The sequence below is a fragment of the Homo sapiens genome, chromosome 15 (genome assembly GCF_000001405.40).
Source record: "Homo sapiens chromosome 15, GRCh38.p14 Primary Assembly".
In the NCBI taxonomy this organism is placed as follows: domain Eukaryota; kingdom Metazoa; phylum Chordata; class Mammalia; order Primates; family Hominidae; genus Homo; species Homo sapiens.
Window position 1 is genome coordinate 68,153,241 of NC_000015.10, and position 20,136 is coordinate 68,173,376.

General features: G+C 37.2%; 1 protein-coding gene across 7 annotated transcripts in view; it reads left to right on the forward strand.

The window, feature by feature from the left end:
• Positions 1–20,136, forward strand: part of PIAS1 (protein inhibitor of activated STAT 1) — a 139,533-nt gene that overhangs the window by 98,926 nt on the left and 20,471 nt on the right. For all 7 annotated transcript variants that reach the window (XM_017022688.2, XM_011522126.3, XM_017022689.2 and 4 more), the window contains 2 exons: positions 350–455; positions 11,491–11,564. In XM_017022688.2, coding sequence (XP_016878177.1) covers positions 350–455; positions 11,491–11,564 — 180 coding nt within the window. The remainder of the gene's footprint in view (positions 1–349; positions 456–11,490; positions 11,565–20,136) is intronic.

The window sequence follows — 20,136 nt, forward strand, 5'->3', positions numbered from 1 at the left end:
TTCATGTAAGTGCCTTAAATTCATTAGCTTCAAGTATAGGTAATATTAAATCCAAGACAGACCTGGGTTTAAATTCTAGGTTTGTTACTTGAAAATTGCAAAATTAGGGCAAGTTCTTTTACTTCTCTGTACTTCAGTATCCTCATCCATAAAAACAGGTTTATGATCATCTCGGCAGCTTTTTGGTCAGGATTAAATGAATTACTGTTCATGAAAACACCTAAGACTGCTTGACACACAGTAGGTGTTTTAAGAAGTGTTAGTTTTCTTTCCCTATCATGGTGAGATTAAAATAGATGTACTATTTACTTACATATGTTGTTTGTTTTCTACTTCTTTTTTTTTCCAGAACTATTCCATGGCAGTATATCTTGTAAAACAGTTGTCCTCAACAGTTCTTCTTCAGAGGTTACGAGCAAAGGGAATAAGGAATCCGGATCATTCTAGAGCTTTAAGTACGTATGATAAACTTATTTCACTTATTCAGCTATTTTGTTAAAGGTTAGAGTAGTATTTTCTCAACTCAAGAAATTTTAGAATTTGTTTATTCACTGGAGCCTGTTGTGTAGTTCTTAGAGTAGTTCTGATATCTTTGTCATGAGCTATATTTTATAATCTATATTTTACTAATCTTAAAATTAACTTTGTGAAGTCAGTGCACAAACATGGAAGAATATTATTCTACAACTTCATAAAATCAATGTTTAAGGAATTCTGGGAAATGGGAAGGGCATCTTGGCATAAATTTCAAGAAAGTTATTTTAGATTGGTGGTTTATCCAGGAAAAATGTACAGAATTATATCATGGCCTCACCCCCTGCATTTACAAAGTGAAGAGAGCCAGTGGGGTGGTAGAAATAATAATTCTGCCATTAATCAATTATATGACTGTGGACAAGTAACGCTGCTCCTGAGTTTCATCTTCCTCATCTGTAACAAGAAGTTTATGCCGTCTGATTTCTAATGCTTCTGCGAAGTCTGGGTTCATACGTGTGAATTACTGGATGGTTTGTTTTGATACGTTGAATTTGAGATTCAAGGTCTTCAAATGGGGCTGTGCTGACCTCTGTTTTTAAGGGTTAAGGTCAGAGGGTTTGGCCTTTCCAAAGAGGTGAACTAAGTTCTTCGTTTATTCTTTTATTTGTGAGAGCCGGGGGCTGCGTGGATTTAGGAGTGAGGGCTGGGGACTTAGAAACAAAACTTTTATAGGCAGGTGTTAGATAGCTATCCTTTAAGGACTTTTGATGTGAACTGATTAATGAAGCCCATTATCAGATTTGTACTTAGGAACACTCTGGTGGAAAGAACTAAGATAATAGCAGCTTTCCTTTTGTAGCATAGCTATTACCCCTTTCTGTAACTTATTTCTGTGGCAGAGTAAAAGATCCCACTACCCCTGAATATCAATATACCCTTAATAGTTCATTGAAGAATTTTTCTGTATTAAAATGGTCCTTTAAAAATGCAGCTAATCCTGAATCAATGGGAGCACACTTTGGCTAATGCCTCTGTAGGCATGCATTGACAGATGATGGAGACCTAGAAGGGCAGCACTGATTTGGGATCTGCGGGAGTGGTGGCACCATTTGGCAGGGATAAGAAGATGGTAGGGATCCTGAAAGAAAAGACAGACATCTGCCTTGAAGGAGAGTATAAGATAACTTGTCTTCTATCACAATCTTGCTGAAGTTATTCCTGGTCATTCTACTGAGAATCTTCGTATTTGCCTCACAATACTAGAATCTCAGCCAGTCAGAAAGCAAAGAATTATGTGAGCCTGTATGGAAGAGGGAATACCAAGAAATAAGGCAGATGAAGTTATTTTATTTAATAGTAACAGCAACAACAACAATAAGGCCAACTGTCTTTGCTCAAGCTGTTAACTCTTCTCCGCTTGTAGCTATAGCACCACCTGGAGGGAGAGTGGGAACGTGAGTCTGGAATTGAATTATTTTATTTTCTCCGAGAAACCACTATTAGCTACCATTAAGCAGCAAAAACTGTTTAATTCAAAAGCTATTTCTAGTCTGATATACTGATGGATGTGGAGAATAATTGTACACTGGATGAGATTTTTGTGGAAATTGATACCTTACCTTACTTATTGGCCAGGGAAGCCAATGGAATATTAATTTGGATCCCACCAGTAAGAAATTTGTTGTAATTTACTAAAAAACAGGTTATCTACCTTTACCTGTATGCTGCCTGTAAAAAAAAAAAAAAAAAAAAAAACCAAAAACTTTCCCAACAAATTATGTAATTAAAATTCTGTTTACAATAACTTGACAAAAGGAAATGTCAGGTATTTTAAAAGAGTCAAATCAGTTACAAATATGTTCTTTGTAAGTCATTCTTAATAAAATAAGTACTTCTAGCAAAGTTTTAGTAGTCAAGCCAGACACTCTTATGTTCTTGAAAGAATAAAGTTGGTATTATTTAGACTTTTCACAGAGAACTCCATTCTCTGAATCATTTGATTTAGTAGGATTTTGTCTTGCAGTTTCTGCCTTTGTGTAGAGTTGTCCCCTCACAACTATGAAAAACAGTCTTTTACCAACTCTTAATCAAGTTTCTTTCTCCTCTTCCTTCTCCCTTCAGCAGTTATTTCAAGCCTTAGCCATAATCTAATCAAACACTATCCCCCTCTCTCAGCACTCTGCCAATGCATGAAAATTGGGGCTACAAGACATGAATTACCTAAACCACCCATTTCTTCCTTAATCTCAGTGCCACCATAATTACTTTTTTAGCTTATCTACATTTGTGCCCAGTCCTCGCTTTATTTTGTTCAGTGTCAAGAGGAAATCTCCCTTTCCCTGCTTATTCATTTATTCTTTTCATTCAAGAAATTGTGTTAAGAGTCTACTGTGTTCCAGGAACAGGAGAATATAACATTAAACAAGACACATACCATCTCTGCATCCCCCAGAAGTTTGCAGTCTGGTAAGAAAGACAGGCATTAAATAATTGCACAAGTCATTAATGAGTTAAAGTTTTGACATGTGCCTTGAAGAAGATAGACAGGGAACTCTGTAGAGGTACAATAGGGGAACGTAGTCCTCTCTGATACTGTGATACTTAAGGCAAGATTATAAGTATGAGGAGAAGTTAAGCTCCAAGATGGGAACAGAGTATGCCAGGAGAAAAGGCCAGTGCAGCTGGAATAGAGAGAGCCAAGAAGGGCTGGGTGCAGTGGCTCACCCTTGTAATCCCAGCACATTGGAAGGCCGAGGCGGGTAGATCACTTGAGTGAGGTCAGGAGTTCAGACCAGCCTGACCAACATGGTGAAACCCTGTCTCTACTAAAAATACAAAAAAATTATCCTGGCATGGTGGCATGTGCCTGTAGTCCCAGCTACTCGGAAGGCTGAGGCACGAGAATCGCTTGAACCCGGGAGGCAGAAGTTGCAGTGAGCTGAGATCGCACCACTGCACTCCAGCTTGGGCAACAGAGAGAGACACTGTCTTTAAAAAAAAAAAAAAAAAAAGAGAGAGAGAGAGAGAGCGCCAAGAAGGAGGGTGACCAGAGAGTTGGACAGGTATAAGTTGACATAGACGATATGAAGATAGATGATAGAAAACCATTAAAAGATTTTTAAGCAGAGGAGTAAATGACACGATTACATTTAGACAATCTGATTCTCACTTTGAAGACGAATCAAAGGAAGGCAAGGCTAATGCAGTGAGGCCAGTTGAGAACCTGTTTGTAATAGTATACGTAAGAGATGATAATGTCTTGAACTAAGGTGATAGTGGTAGATAGAAGTTGACAGTTTTGAGAAGCATTGAAATGGCATTGACTGTGTGTGTGGAGTGATGAGTCCAAGGAGGAGTGCTAAGCTTCTTACTCAAGCACTAGGTAACATGGTAATGCCATTTACTGAAACAGAAAACTGTGTTGAAAAGATCAGATTGCAGGGGGGAGATCAGAGTGGACTGTTAGACTTGTGGTGTTTGAGATGGGATGAGACATCCAGGTAGAGATGCTTGGTAACAGTATTATGAGACCTGGCTCCCTCATATATCTGCTCTTTGTCCTGTGTTTTCAGTTCCTCTCTGTCTGCAGGCTTTTTCTGTCACTCTGTGCTGTCAAGACTCTTTTATCTTTTAAAAAATAGGAAAACAAGCTCCTCTATGGATAGAGCTCTGTGTTCCTCCCATTGTTCTCATCCGAATTTTTGTGAGAGTAGTCTACACTTGCTCTTTTTACCTCCTCACTGCATCTCATTATGGTCTTTAACCCTCTATCATTCCACTGAAATTGCTCTTTCAGATGTCACAAATGATGATCTGATTGCTAAATTTAAAGTGTATATTTTCAGTTTTCATCCTGAATACTTCTGCTGCATTTGATATGAACCACTTTCTCCTTGAAATTCTCTCCTTTCTTCTCTGACCATATCTTCTCAATCACCTGCCTTCAATGGATTCTCTTAAGGGAAGCATTCTAAATGTGGCTGTTCTTGGAGTTTTATCTTGGGTGCACTTTTCTACGCACCCTTATGGTTTAAAACTAACACCCACCCCAAAATACATGTCTTCATCTCAGACCTCTCCCCTGCGTTTCAGACTTATATAGCTAACTACCTTCACCTAAGCATTTCACTGGTTCCTCAAATTCAAGTATTTAAAACTGAACTCACCAACTCCTGTCAAACTTACTCCCTAAATATTTCTCAAATGTGCCTTCTGTCTATCATGCTATCATTGCCCTTGTTTAAGCTCTCATATCCTGCTTTTATTTTAAAAACCATTCTTAGATAAAACATCCCTCTCCTTGACGCCTTTTTCTATCTCCTCTGGTAGCCTCCTAAGTGATTTATACAGATCTAAAATCTTACCATTCTCATTCCCTTGCATTTCATGGCTTCTTAACACCAAGGGAATAAAAACTCCAAGTATGTTAGCATGACACACAAACTTTCCATCATGTGGCACCTGCTTATTACTTTCCAGGGTCGCCTGTATTCACTCTGCTTTTTAAACTTTCCATGACGTGGCACCTGCTTATTACTTTCCAGGGTCGCCTGTATTTACTCTTCTTTTCATACTTCACATTCCATTCCAAAAATATGGAACTCTTTAGTCTTTCTTCAGTGCTTTAGTTTTGTGCTCTATGCCTCAAAACTCCCCTGCTGCCTTCTCTGCCTAATGTCATTATCCTTTGTTTCACTTTTTTCCAGGAGACATCCCAGAACCCCCAAAATTGATGAGTTGACTTTTGGTTAGCTTCCTGAACATACTCCATCAGAGTGCATTAGAGATGATCTCACTGAACATCTTTACCCTCTACTAGATTATGAGTTCTTTGGAGGAGGAATTTAATCTTATTTTTTTTCTTGAATTCCTATTGCTCAGCACAGTGCCACATACATAGTAGATCTGCATATTTTTGAAGTAAACTGATGAAAAGACAGCTACAGAAAAAAATCAGGTCTTGGTGCCTGTTTCTTTGCTTATAAAATGAAATATTGATCTTAATATGTTTGATTGTTTTCGGCCTTAAAATTTTAAAAGGCTGAATTAAAATAACCTGATATTAATGAAGGATAGAAATTATCTTGAAATAATAACAACCCCAGAACACCAGTAATAGAACAATCTGTGATAATGGAAGTGTTCTCTATCTGCACTGTCCCATATGGTAGCCACCAGCAACATGTGGCTATTGAGCACTTAAAATGTGGCTAGTTTAACGGATGAGCTGAATTTTTATTTAAATTTAAATACAGCGTCATGTGAGTAGTGGCTAACTCCTGTAGCTCATGACAACAGGGATTAAAAACAAGATTAATTCTGCTCCCCAAATCGACTTATTGGGTAAAACAAGATTAATTTTAAATGTGACTAGCTGTAACTTTATTATAGTCATATAATAAAATACTGTTAGCACTGCAGATCACTGTAACAATGTGAAAACTTTAACTCCCAGAGAACTTCCCACATGTTGACTGATTACTGCAGGACAAATATTATATGTCTTATTTTTATTTTTTATTCCCTTGCTCACAAGTAATAAGTGCTTCTACTTTTACTTTATTTTTTCTTCATACTTTCTTATGATTAAATATAGCATAGTGCTTTTCCCCTCCGTTTTCTCTCTTTCTTTTGAGAAAGTTTTTTAAAGTATAACTTATAGGCAATAAAAATTCCTTTGACAGATGTATACAATCATGAACCACTGCCACAATCAAAATATAGAACATCCTTTACCCCAGAAAGTTCATCTGTGGCCTTTTGCATTCCATCCCATCCTTTTACCATTGATGTGATTTCTGCTCTGTAGTTTTGTCTTTTCCAGAATGTCAGGTAAATGCAATCCTACAATATGTAGCCTTTTGCGTCTGGCTTCTTTCACTTAGTATAATGCTTTTGAAGTTCATCCATGTAGTTTGTTCTTTATTGCTGCGTAGTATTTCATTTATGTACTATAATTTATCCATTTGATAAATGATGGACATTTATCCATCTGATAAATTGATGGACATTTGGATTATTTCCAGTTTTGCAGCAATATGAATAAAGCTGCTGTAAACATTTACATTTTGCATATGGATACCTCAGTTTTGTAGACATATGTTTTCATTTCTCTTGGGTAAATACCTAGGAGTGGGATTGCTGGGTCATATGATAAGTATATATGGAAAACAGTTTGGCAATTTCTTTTAAAGTAAATATACCATTTTTGCATTCCCACTAACAATGTGTGAGATTTCAAGTGGCTCCACATCCTTACCAGCATATGGTATCATCAGGCTGCTTTATTGTAGCCATCGTGATTGGTATGTAGTGGTATTTCTTTGTGCATTTTTCTGATGTCTAAGGATGTTAAGCATCTTCTCAGGTGCTTATTTGCCATTCTTATAGCTTCTTTGATGAAGTATCTGCCAAATTTTTTGCCCATTTTTTAATGTCATGCTTTTGATATATTATGAAATCTTTGCCTAAATGAAAGTCACAAACACTCTCTTCTATTTTTCTTCTAGAAATTTTATTGTTTGAGCTCTTGGATCTAGGTCTGTGATTCATTTTGAGTTAATTTTTGTATATGCAAGGTGAGAGTAGAGATTCATTTTTTCCCCCACATAGATATCGAAATATTCCAACAGCATTTGTTGAAAAGACTGTCTTTCCTTCCATTTCATTACCTTGGCACCTTTATCAAAAACCAATTGACCATAGATGTATAAATCTATTTCCGGACGTTATTCTTTTCCATTGACCTGTATGTCTATCCTTATGCCAAACGAGTCTTAATTACCGTAGCTTGATAGTAAGTCTTGAAATCAGTTAGAATTCTCCAATTTTGTTTTTCTTTTTCAGAATTGTTTTGAATGTTGTTAAGTCCAGTAGGTGAAACAATACATGGTGACCAAACAGAATTTATTTCTGTAATACGAAGTTGGTTTCAGCATTCAAATGCTGAAATATAATTCACCTTCTCAACAAACTAAAAATGAAAAATCATATGATCATCTCCAGAGATGCAGAAAAAGCACTTGGCCAAATTCAACATCCATTCATGATAAAACTGTCAGCAAAATCGAGAAGGGAGCTGCCTCAGTGTAATAAAGAGTATTTACAAAAAGTCTACACTACAGCTGATATCATCACTAATGGTCTAAAACTTGAATGCTTCACTCCTAAGATTGAGAACAAGGCAAGGATATCTGCCCCTAGCGTTGCCCTAGAGATCCTAGACAGCACAATAAGACAAGGAAAAGTTTTAAAAAAGAAACCAACACACAGGTTAGAAATGAAGAAATAATTATAGTCTTTATTTACAAATGACCTTATGGTCTGCATAGAAAAAGATCCCAAAGAATCTCCAAAAAAGCTACTAGAAATACTATGTGAGTTTAGCAGAGTTAGAGAATGCATGGTCAATATACAAAAACAAATTGTATTTCTGTTAGTAATGAACAATTGGAAATTGAAATTCAAAAAAGATTTTACAGTAACATCCAAAAATATGAAACACGTGGGGATACATCACACAAACTATGTGCAAGATTTGTATGCCGAAAACTACAAAGCATGGTTGAGAAAAACTGAAAGAAGACCTGCATAAACGGAGAGATATATCTTGCTAAGAGATTGAAAGATTCTATTGTTGTATGTCAGTTCTCCAAATTAATCTGTAGAATTAATCCAGTCTAATCAAGATCCCGGTAGGACCTTAAAAAATATCTTTACAAGAATAAAAGGACTAGGATTGGGTCTGTAATGGCAAAAGAGAAGGCATAGGTTTTTTTTTTTTTTTAATAGAAATTGGCAAACATTCTAAAATAATTTCAGAAAATTCTCCCACCTCTGAGAGAAAGTGAATATATAAATCGTGTTTTATTTTAAGTAACAATAGCTAATATTTATTGAGAATAATATTAGGCTATTTTAAAACTTTTTTTGTTGCCAGCATGGTGGCTATGCCCATATTCCCAATACTTTGGGAGGCCAAAGTGGGCAGATAACCTGAGGTTGGGAGTTTGAGACCAGCCTGGCCAATATGGTGAAACCCTGTCTCTGCTAAATACAAAAATTAGCTGAGCCATGGTGGTGCACACCTCTAATCCCAGCTACTTGGGAGGCTGAGGCAGGAGAATCACTTGAACCTGGGATGCAGAGGCTGCAGTCAACCAAGATCTCACCACTGACTCCAGCCTGGGTGACAGAGTGAGACTCTGTCTCAAAAAAAATTTTTTTTTCTTGTCGTTGTTGAGACAGGATCTCACTCTGTCACCCAGGCTGGAGTGCAATGGCAGCAATTTCAGCTCACTGCAACCTCTGCCTCCCAGGCTCAAGTGTATTTTGAAACTTTTTATGCATATTAACTCAATCCTTAAAACAGTTCTGTGAGGTACTATTATTGTTCCCATTTACCGGATGATGTAACAGGCATAGAGAGGTTAAGTGATTTAACTGAGACTAAATTCTAAGCTAGGCTATCCCTAGGTCCTATGCTCTTAACCACTACTTTATGTTGCCTCTCTTATTTCAATTTATTTTCTAAGCACTAAACACTGAGCTTTGTTTTGTATAAGGTTGATACTATGATCTATAATATTGCTTCATTTAAGTGGAAATTTAAATATGCAAAGTTCAAAGTCAGTTACTATGCCCATTGCTTGCTATGTCTATAAAGGGTGCTGGTGGGATGGTTGGTGAAGGCATGTAGAGTGGTTATTAGTCAGGGTTCTCCGGAGAAACTCTAGGAGGGGAAGGAGAGGAAGAGAGGAAAAGGAGAGAGAGAGATGAGAGAGAGTGAGTTAAGAGGAGATGTATTAGGGGAATTGGCTCACATGACTATGAAGGCTGAGAATGCCCACAATAGATAGGCCATCAGCAAGCTGGAGAACCAGCGAAGCCAGTAATGTGACTATTGAAGTCCAGGGGCCACAGATCCAGGAAGCCAACTCTCAATCTAAGGCCAAAGGCCTAAGAGGGGTGAGGAGAAGGGCTGATATGGTGGTACAAATCCCAGAGTCCCAAGCCCAGAGAACCTGGAATTCTTTCTTTTTAAAGATGGGGTCTTACTGTGTTGCCCAGACTGGTCTCAAACTCCTGGCCTCAAGCAATCCTCCTACCTCAGGCTCCCAAGTAGCTGGGATCACAGAAGTCCAAAGGCAGGAGAAGAAGGGTATCCCAGCTCAAGGAAAAAGAGAAAGTGAATTTATTTTCCTTTCCTCTGCCTTTTTGTTCTTTCCATGCCCTCCAGCTGATTTGATGGTGTCCGCCAAGATTGAGGGCACATCTTCCTCACTCATCCACAGACTGACACACCAGTCTCCTTTGGAAACACACTCGCAGACACTTTCAGAAATTATGCCTTGCCAGCTATGTAGGTAGCCCTTCGTTTAGTTAGTTGACACCTAAAATTAGCCAACACAGTGAGTAATCACATTAGAATTCTATTTGCATGTTTATTTCATATGGCGATTATTTGTTGCCTTTAACAAAGATACTACTTTTTAAAATCATATTTATAAGAAAGGATTGACTAAGATTTGGTGTATAATGACAAAGGCATACTTTTTGTAATTTATATATGGTATTCATTAGCATAGTGTTACAACTATATTTTCCAAACTAAAAACCAGAAGTTGTATGCCTTTTTTGTGTGTCAGGAGACAGCCTGTGAAATATATTAAGACTTTGAAAATTTGGAATTTCCAGGCCATGAAATGACTTTTTAGTCTGGCATTAGAATCATATCTGGAGCTTTTAAAAAACTACCAATTGGTGTCCCTCTTTTCATTCTGATTCAGGAAGCTCTGTAGGTAGGTCTGATGTGCACCTTACTTGAGATCCACTAATTTATGGAAATAGTTGGATAGGATCTCCAGGATTTGGACCATCTAAAAAAATCCAGACTAAAATCCAGGGGACTGTGTTTAATAAAGGTAGGATTTCTCATAAATGGTTATCAGAACAGTAGACTCTGAAATTGTAACTTACCCGAGTACTTCTCCCTCTCTTCGTTTTCTTTTCTATATGGTGTCTTATCTGGTCACACTTAGTTGTACCACAGCTCAGAACTTCTGTTGACTGTGTATACAGCTACCCAACTTACGGCCCCTTTGTACAATATAGACTTTAAAGTTATTATGGGACAGTTTCTAAAATTGTTGGAATATTACATATATGTATTTCCTGTCTCACCCCCTATAATGTTTTTTCTTGTTACTGTTATTGAAGTTTTCAGAGGTAACAGCTAAGGTTTCCAGATGAGAAGTATAAAGAGTCTTTCATATCAGACTGAAAGAGAATGAAAGAACAGCCTTGGAAAAGTAAAATTACTAGTGTCTCCTCCCTTAAGAACCATAAGAAGTTTGAAGTGAAAAGACTTAAAGATTATCTAGTGTGGGTTCCAATTTTACTACAAGTAAAATTAAGCTGAGAAAGGAGGATTGACTTGCCTAAGAGGGCACAAGTATTTTATAGAGAAATAGATTAAAATTCAAATAATTGTATAGTTAAAAAAAAGAAATAGGACTCTTTTCATAATTTGAAGTTTGAATTAAGCTGTTTTACAGTAAATATTTTTATTTTCTGAGCTTTCAAAAATGTATAAATGTTATTCTTATTATTAATGTCCTCGAAAGTAGAAGAGCCCAAGTAATATTAGTCATAGTTTAAAAGAAAGAAAACCTTGATCCAATATCTTAGAGTTATAAAAGAAAAAGGGTCTACCATTAGTTGAATATGTCAACATATTAGAGAAATTTCTCTCATATTGCTGCAGGTTTTTGTCCCCTGAGTGAGAAATAGGAAATTTATAGGAAACATAGTCATTCTACAGATAAACAATTGTTTTCCATCCTTTGCTTATAGAATTAAAAGCCATATGGTTGTTTTTATCTTTCCATTCAATTGATTGGGAAATAATTGAACAGATTTGTTTAAGCTTTTTATTCTTTATAGTAATGCTCCAGTAATGTATCTTTAATAAAACTCTGTTTGCTTTTTTTCTTCTTCTTCAATGAATATCAGTTAAAGAGAAGTTGACTGCGGATCCAGACAGTGAAATAGCTACAACCAGCCTAAGGGTTTCTCTACTATGTCCAGTAAGTGTTAACTATTACTTGCTTTCCAGAAAGTTTAACATACATTTTCTCTTTTTATTAAGTATTTTTACTATTTGAGAAATTCTGTTTGCTTCTAAAATATGTCCACCATTGTTACAGTTTATGAAAAGTGGAAAGACATCTAGGCATTGCATTTGGAATCTAAACAAGTCTTTAAAAATGATCTACTCTTAGTAAGACATATCTAAATATGGCCTGTGATTAATGACCATCTCTCAGGCTCAAGTGTAAAATCTCAAAATAAGAAATGTTTATTGTCTCAGTGTATTTATAAAAATTTTACATTATTTATTTTTATTATTGTTATTTTTTTGAGATGGAGTTTCGCTCTTGTTGCCCAGGCTGGAGTGCAATGGTGCCATCTCGGCTCACCACAACCTCTGCCTCCCGGGTTCAGGCGATTCTCCTGCCTCAGCCTCCTGAGTAGCTGGGATTATAGGCATGCGCCACCACACCTGGCTAATTTTGTATTTTTAGTAGAGATGGGGTTTCTCCATGTTGGTCAGGCTGGTCTCGAACTCCTGACCTCAGGTGATCCACCCGCCTTGGACTCCCAAAGTGCTGGGACTATAGGTGTGACCCACCGCACCTGGCCAAAAATTTTACTTAAGATAGTACCTTTCTGAGTAAAAATCTAGCCATGATTACCCACACATCTCATTTAACCATTTTGCTAACAATGACCACATTATAACAATTCACCAATTAAAAACTTCTGTTCAGCCTAAATGCTGAATTTGTTATACATATAAAAAAACCTTGAGATATTTTAAGCCAGAAAATGAGGTCAGAATCAATCATTTTCATGAAATAAATATATGGTCCCAAGACTTAGCCAAATTATTAAACCTGTAAGGGAAAAGGTCTCAAAAAAATGTTATACTAATCTGATGTTAGGCTCTTTGGTAGGGGTGGTGGTTGAATATGGCCATATGAAAATATGTGAAAAATTTAATAATTAATTACCTTGACATTTTGGTTACTTTTTGTTCTATAATTAATCAAACTAATCATATTTTAAATTTGGGAGAAAGAATGAAAGGACATGTCTGTTTCCTGATTTGTCTGATTGTTCAGACAGGCCTGATATTGAAAGCTTTTGATACTGAGATCCTATTAATCTCAGATGATGATGAAGTTACTGTATTCTTAAAGAAACAAAGAATTTAAATAGAAATTAAATGTTATTTGTAATTACAAATATTAGTCTTTTGTAATTTATGAAACTTCAAACATGAAAAAATTAGATCATGAATTAGTTTCTGTAAGTTATAGAAAAAAATACAATGAAGTTAATTAAAATCATCAAATTGTATCATTGTGTATATATCTTTCTATTCCTGTAACGTTTATTTTTATTCCTTTTTATAATAAAGCCAATTTTTTTCTTGTGAAAAATATTTTGACTCCAGGCTTTTTATATTAGTGTTAAAAATTCTTTAAGTAACCAGGTAAATGTTATAACAGCCTAGGTTGTAAAGGAGACTGGTGTGGGTTTTTGTGTGTGTGGTTTTTTTGTTTTTTTATTTTTTTTTTCTTTTCATGCTTAGAAAAATGATTCACAGACTGGGGAAGTAGAGGGTGAGAAAAAGACAAATTTTTTTTTTAAAGAAAAAGGTAAAAAGGTGTATATTTATTCTACCCTCTTTCTCCGAAACCCTGATTTATCCATTCCCCCATCTGTTGTTCTTTGCCGCCTCATTTTGTTGTAAAACACCAATTCAGAAAATACGTTTAGAAAAGTACATACACTTCATTTTCCATTTAAATCACTGGAAAAAGTATTGTTTTTCTGCAATCTCACTTAAAAGTGTTTATAGTTGTACTAATATATATGATGCTTTATGTTTAACACATATATGAAGCATTTATTCGTATAAATAAGCACAGTAATATAAATCTTTGAAGTTTTATTTGTGGAACTGTGTTTCAATTCTGTAGTGCAGGTGCTCATCTCTGTATTACTAGAAACTATTAATCACATTTTGCTCTTTGCACCTTTATTTATTTTCTTTTTTGAGACGGGGTTTCACTTTGTCACCCAGGTTGGAGTGCAGTGCTGCCATCTCAGGTCACTGCAGCCTCCACCTCCCAGGTTCATGCAGTGCTCCTGCTTCAACCCCCCAAGTAGCTGGGACTACCGGCATGTGCCACCACACCCGGCTGATTTTTGCATTTTTTTGTAGAGACAAGGTCTTGATATGTTGCCCAGGCTGGTCATGGACTCCTGGCCTCAAGCAATCCTCCTGCCTTGGCCTCCCTTGGGATTACAGGCGTGAGCCACCACACCTGGCCAGCAGTTCATTTTAAATTGACATCTGCTTTAAAAATTCAGATTATAAAACAAAACAACTATATATGTATATTGTGTGTGTGTGTGTGTGTGTGTATGTGTAAAATGTATAATTATAATACTTTCATGGGTTTCTATTTGGCTAAAGGGATAATCCCTTACAGTTATTCTGAAATAGTAAGATCATGTATTTTAGGTATGTTTTTACTCAAAAATAAAATTTAATAATACCTATATATCAAATTTATGGGATAATAAAAGAGATTTGTGCTCTTTGAAATATGTAAATATGATGTCTCACTGTGCATTACAGTTGCCCTTGTGATGTACAGAGCTCAAAATAAATGAGTTTCTTTTGTTTCTGTGCCATTTAGCTAAAGGCAACAAAAATAATTAAAAATGTTTTTACTCTTTGGGAATTTTATGGTTCTGATTTATTAAAAATAGAGGTGGAGGAATCTTTGAAAAGCTGCTTTGTAAACCCAAATACAAATAACGTGGAATTGATAGAAGAAAAGAAGATAAACTCTGGAAATGTATTTATGAAATATTTATTATTGTGAAAAAAACTTGTGAAATTATTCTTTTTGTTTTGTTTTGTTTTTGAGACAGAGTTTTGCTCTGTCACCCAGGCTGGAGTACAGTGGCCAGATCTTGGCTCACTGCAACCTCCACCTCCCAGGTTCAAGCAATTCCTCTGCTTCAGCCTCCCAAGTAGCTAGAACTACAGGTGCACGCCACCACGCCTGGCTAATTTTTTGTATTTTTAGTAGAGATGGGGTTTCACCATGTTGGCCAGGCTGGTCTCAAACTCCTGACCTCAGGTGATCTGCTTGCCTTAGCTTCCCAAAATGCTGGGATTACAGGTGTGAGCCACCACTCCCAGCCTTTTTAAAATTTTATTTTTTGAGACAGAGTCTTGTTCTGTTGCCCAGGCTGGAGTGCAGTGGTGTGATCTCAGCTCACTGCAACCTCCACTTCCTGGGTTCAAGCAATTCTCCTGCCTCAACCTCCTGAGTAGCTGGTATTACAGGCGCCTGTCACCACGCCCGGCTAATTTTTGTATTTTCAGTGGAGATGAGGTTTCACCATGTTGGCTAGGCTAGTCTGGAACTCCTGACCTCAAGTGATCCGCTTGCCTCAGCCTCCCAAAGTGATGGGATTACAGGTGTGAGCCACTGTGCCCAGCTGAAATTATTTTTAATGTCACACTTTTTCCTTTCCTTTTGCAAGGAAAAAGCACGTTTTATTGACATTTTTAGGGCTTTTTAAAAATATAAGTTGGTTAAAACTTTTATCTAGAATGTTTTCTCTTGCAGCGTCATCAGTTACTAATATAGATAGCACTATTATTGTAAAGTTAGTGGCGTTAGAAAACACATTTGGGAGTTAAAGTGCTTATTTGCAAATAATGCAAACATAATTTGTGTCCTATAAAGGGAAAGGAAGAATTTGTAATCACAAGATGAAGACGTTCAAAGCTCAGCTTCTCTCTTGTTACCAAGTTAGAGAAAATCGATATCTGTTTTTCAGATAATTATTTAGAATTTAGTGATTTTTTTAAAAAAAATCAGGAATATGAGAATTATCACATAATAGTTATTTTATGATTCTAAGGCATTTGTGTGGCAGCTAATAATGCATTTGAAAGCGAGCTTTTGCTTTCACATACCCATTTATGTCTGTCTTGTACCATTTCTGTGTCAGCGTTCCTTAAAAACTCTGTAGGTCACCTTGTCAGTATAGCTGAAGATAAAGGCTTGAGAGTTGCTCTCTTGCCTAAAAGATATGAACTGACAGCTGGAGATCATGGGGTAAAGGTATGTGAGATGAAGGCCTTTGGAAAACAGCTGCTTTTCAGAGTATAAATTTCATGGCCTGTAGCTTGGATTCTGAAACAATCTTTATTTCTTATCATCTTATCTGTTGTTTTCATAAACGATCAGAAGTAGTCTGATAGTTCTACAGTTCATAAACCTTGTGTACTATTACTGTATTTCTCTAGAATTTTTAGTCTGTGGTTTCTCTACTTAGTATTAAGGCAATAGCAAAAGTACCTTATAAAATAGGAATTTGTATTTCATAGATAAGCTAAGGTCTGACATAAGATCTAAAAACGTAACTTGGCACCACCAACCAGATTGCTATTTGGAAAATGTTTCTGAACTAATGCAACATGGTATCTTGCCTAATGGTAATTTTTCTGTTATAATAACTACTTTGTTCTTTTGGCCTTTTTATCAGGTGCTTATGTAAATCAAATCATAAAAAATTGGCTGGGCATGTCGCTCACGCCTATAATGCCAGCACTTTGGGAGGCCAAGGTGTGCAGATCACTTGATGCCAGGAGTTTGAGACCGGTGTGGCCAACATGGCGAACCCTGTCTCTACTAAAAATGCAAAAATTAGCCAGGCATGGTGGCACCTGCCTGTAATCCCAGCTACTTGGGAGGCTGAGACAGGAGAATTGCTTGTGAGACTGTTTCTCAAAAAATACAAAGATTAAAATTGAGTAGAAATGCAGTAAGGGAGTCTAATGAAGCTGTTTAATACTTTGTGAGCCCAGAGTAAAAGAATGACTACTAAGCTGAGGTTTGGGTGGGTCTCCTAGTGTACAAAGTGATTTTTAAAGCAAATATGTTTCTGTACTTTAATTAATACTACTGTTATTTATTGAAAAGTTACTATGTGTCAGGTACTGTGTAGTAAACGTAATTGAATCCCCACAATCATATTGTGTAGATCCCATTTTTATCCCCATTTTACAAAACTGAGCCTCTGAGTGATTAAGTAAAATAACATTCAGAATTCACACAGTAGGTAGGTAGTGGGGCCAGGATTCATTCTAACACCAGAACTCATACTCAGGCTGCACTATAAATGACTGAGTATGACCTGCATACCTTCCATGAGTGGTGCCTCCTGGAATTGCCCATCATGCAGAACTGAAGCCTTATCAGTGCACAGGACTGTCTTACTGCTGTATATTTCCAAGTATGGGAACAAGGAAATTAGTCCAACCTGTTTCTAGTAGGAGGAGACACACATAAATAAATAACAATCAGTTTTGCATGCCTTAATGATAGGGATACCTTTTGAGAAATGCACTATTAGGGGATTTTGTTGTTATTCAACAAAAGCATCATAGGTGTGCTTACACAAACCTAGATGGTATAGCTTACTATGTACCTTGGCCTATTGCTCCTAGTTTGCAAAACTGTACAGCATGTTACAAAACTGAATACTGTAGGCAGTTGTAACACAATGCTAAGTATTTGTGTACCTAAACATAGAAAAGGTACAGTAAAAAGTATAAAAGATGAAAAATGGTACACCTGTATGGGGCACTTACTATGAATGGAGCTTACGGGACTGGAAGTTACTCCAAATAAGTCAGTGAGTGGTGAGCAAATGTGAAGGTCTAGGACATCACTTTACATCACTGTAGACTTTATAAACACTGTACACTTTGGCTACAATAAATTTAAAATATTTTTCTTTCTTCAGTAATAAACCTTAGCTTACTGTAACTTTTTTTTTGAGACAGAGTCTCCCTCTGTCACCCAGGCCGGAGTGCACTGGTGTGATCTTGGCTCACGGTAACCTCTGCCTCCCAGGCTCAAGCGATTCTCCTGCCTCAGCCTCCCAAGTAGCTGGGATCCCAGACGTGTGCCACCATGCCTGGCTAATTTTTGTATTTTTAGTAGAGACGGAGTTGCGCCATGTTGGCCAGGCTGGTCTCAAACTCCTGATCTCAGGTGATTCTCCCTCCTCGGCCTCCCAAAGGGCTGGGATTACTGGTGTGAGCCACCACACCTGGCCACTGTAACTTTTTTATTTTATAAGCTTTTTATTTTTTTTAACTTTTGACTCTTGTAATAACAACACTTAGCTTAAAACACAAGCACATTGTACAGCTGTACAAAAATATTTTCTTTCTTTATATCCTTATTCTATAAGCTTTTTTCTATTTTTAACATTTTTTACTTTTATTTTCTACTTTTTAAACTTTTTTGTTAAAAACAAAGACACAAACACACATTAGCCTAGGCCTGCACAGGGTCCGGATCATCAGTATCACTACTTTCCACCTCCACATCTTTTCCCACTGGAACGTCTTCAGTGGCAGTAACAGACATGGAGCTGTTCTCTCTTATGGTAACAGTGCCTTCTTCTGGAATACCTCCTGAAGGACCTGCCTGAGGCTGTTTTACAGTTAACTTTTAAAATATATATAAGTAAAGGGAGTACACTCCAAAATAATGATAAAAAGTATAGTAAATACAGAAACCAGTAACATGGCTGTCTTAATTTGAAGACCTCTATCGTATATGCGGTTCAGTGTTGACCAAAATGTTATGTGGTGCTTGATTGTAATCATATGCAGGAGTGTAGAGTTGGGAGTACACAGAAGGGAGTTACCAGTTTTTACTCTAGGTCCCTCCAGGTTATACTTCTGATACTGTAAACTGGCATTGCTCTAGTCTCAGTAAGTTTATAGCATGTTCAGTGTTCTATTTTTATTCATCATGGCTACATCTGGTTGAAGTAAGGAGGAAATAGTGTTAATTTAGAGAAAGTAAAAGAGGCCCAGAAAGGCTAAATGCCTTTCTTAGAGACACAGTAAATCATCGGTATCAAAGCAATTATTTTGGGCCCCAAATGACAGTTAATTTCCTGGTAGACTAGGAAATTTCACATTTCCCTGAAATTGATCTAAGTAAGCCAAGAATCTTTTCCTCATTTAACTCATATTCTTTTCAAGCCTTTATATTTTTCTTTCATATATATTTTTTTCTTTTATATGTTTTATATATATATAAAATACTTTAAGTTCTATGGTACATGTGCACAACGTGCAGGTATACATGTGCCATATTGGTTTGCTGCACCCGTTAACTCATCATTTACATTAGGTATTTTTCCTAATGCTATCCCTCCCCCAGCCCCCCACCCCAAGACAGGCCCTGGTGTGTGATGTTCCCCGCCCTGTGTCCAAGTGTTCTCATTGTTCAGTTCCCACCTATGAGTGAGAACATGTGATGTTTGGTTTTCTGTCCTTGTGATACTTTGCTCAGAATGATGGTTTCCAGCTTCATCCATGTCCCTGCAAAGGACATGAACTCATCCTTTTTTATGGCTGCATAGTATTCCATGGTATATATGTGCCACATTTTCTTAATTCAGTCTATCATTGATGGACATTTGGGGTGGTTCCAAGTCTTTGCTATTGTGAATAGTGCTGCAATAAACATACGTGTCCAGTGTGTCTTTATAAGTAGCATGATTTATAATAATCCTTTGGGTATATACCCAGTAATGGGATTGCTGGGTCAAATGGTATTTCTAGTTCCAGATCCTTGAGGAATTGCCACACTGTGTTCCACAATGGTGAACTAGTTTACAGTCCCACCAACAGTGTAAAAGCATTCCTATTTCTCCACATCCTCTCCAGCACAAGCGTTTATATTTTTCAAGTTCACAAATCTTTTCCTGGTACTTGGCAAATAATGTGGTTATTGAAAGTAGATAACTTCTCTGCTATATGGTGGCCATTGTGGGATCTGGGGACTCTACAGTGGTACAAGCTGGCTTCCAGGGAATGAGATAGTGATGTGGTACCTCCCTGTGCAGGTTTCTGCGTGGCTTTTCTGCCTTGGGCTAAAGCTAGCAGCTCAGGGACCAGATGAAGCAGATTTCCTCTTCCTGGATAGACTCAACCCGTGTTAGCTGAAGCAATATTTGCAGGGCAAGAAGTCTCCTGACATGCTGGAGATGCTAGAGGTCCAGGGCTGTAGGCTGAATTGCTCGTGATGGTTCCCAGTGAGGAAGCAATGCAGAGTGTGTGCACCTGCCTTCCTCCTCAGAGCTGCCACTTGGCAATTATGCCAAACATCATGGGGAATGATCACTATTGATTCAGTTTTGTCCTGTGAACTACTTTCATTCATAGATAAGACTGATAGCAAATATCAATGCATCTCTGTATTGTGCAGTATTTAATAGGGCATTCTTTATTTTCCCTAATCCCTAGTAAGGTGGTTCTTAAATTTTTTTTGGATCAAGGACTGCTTTAAGAATTTGAGAAAAGCCGGGCACAGTGGTGTGCGCCTGTATCCCCAGCTACTCTGGAGGCTGAGGCAGGAGGATTGCTTGAGCCCAGGAGTTTGAGGCTGTAGTGTGCTACGATTGTGCCTGTGAATAAGAGTTGGCACTTCAGCCTGGGCAATATAGCAAGACCCCATCTGTTTAAAAAAA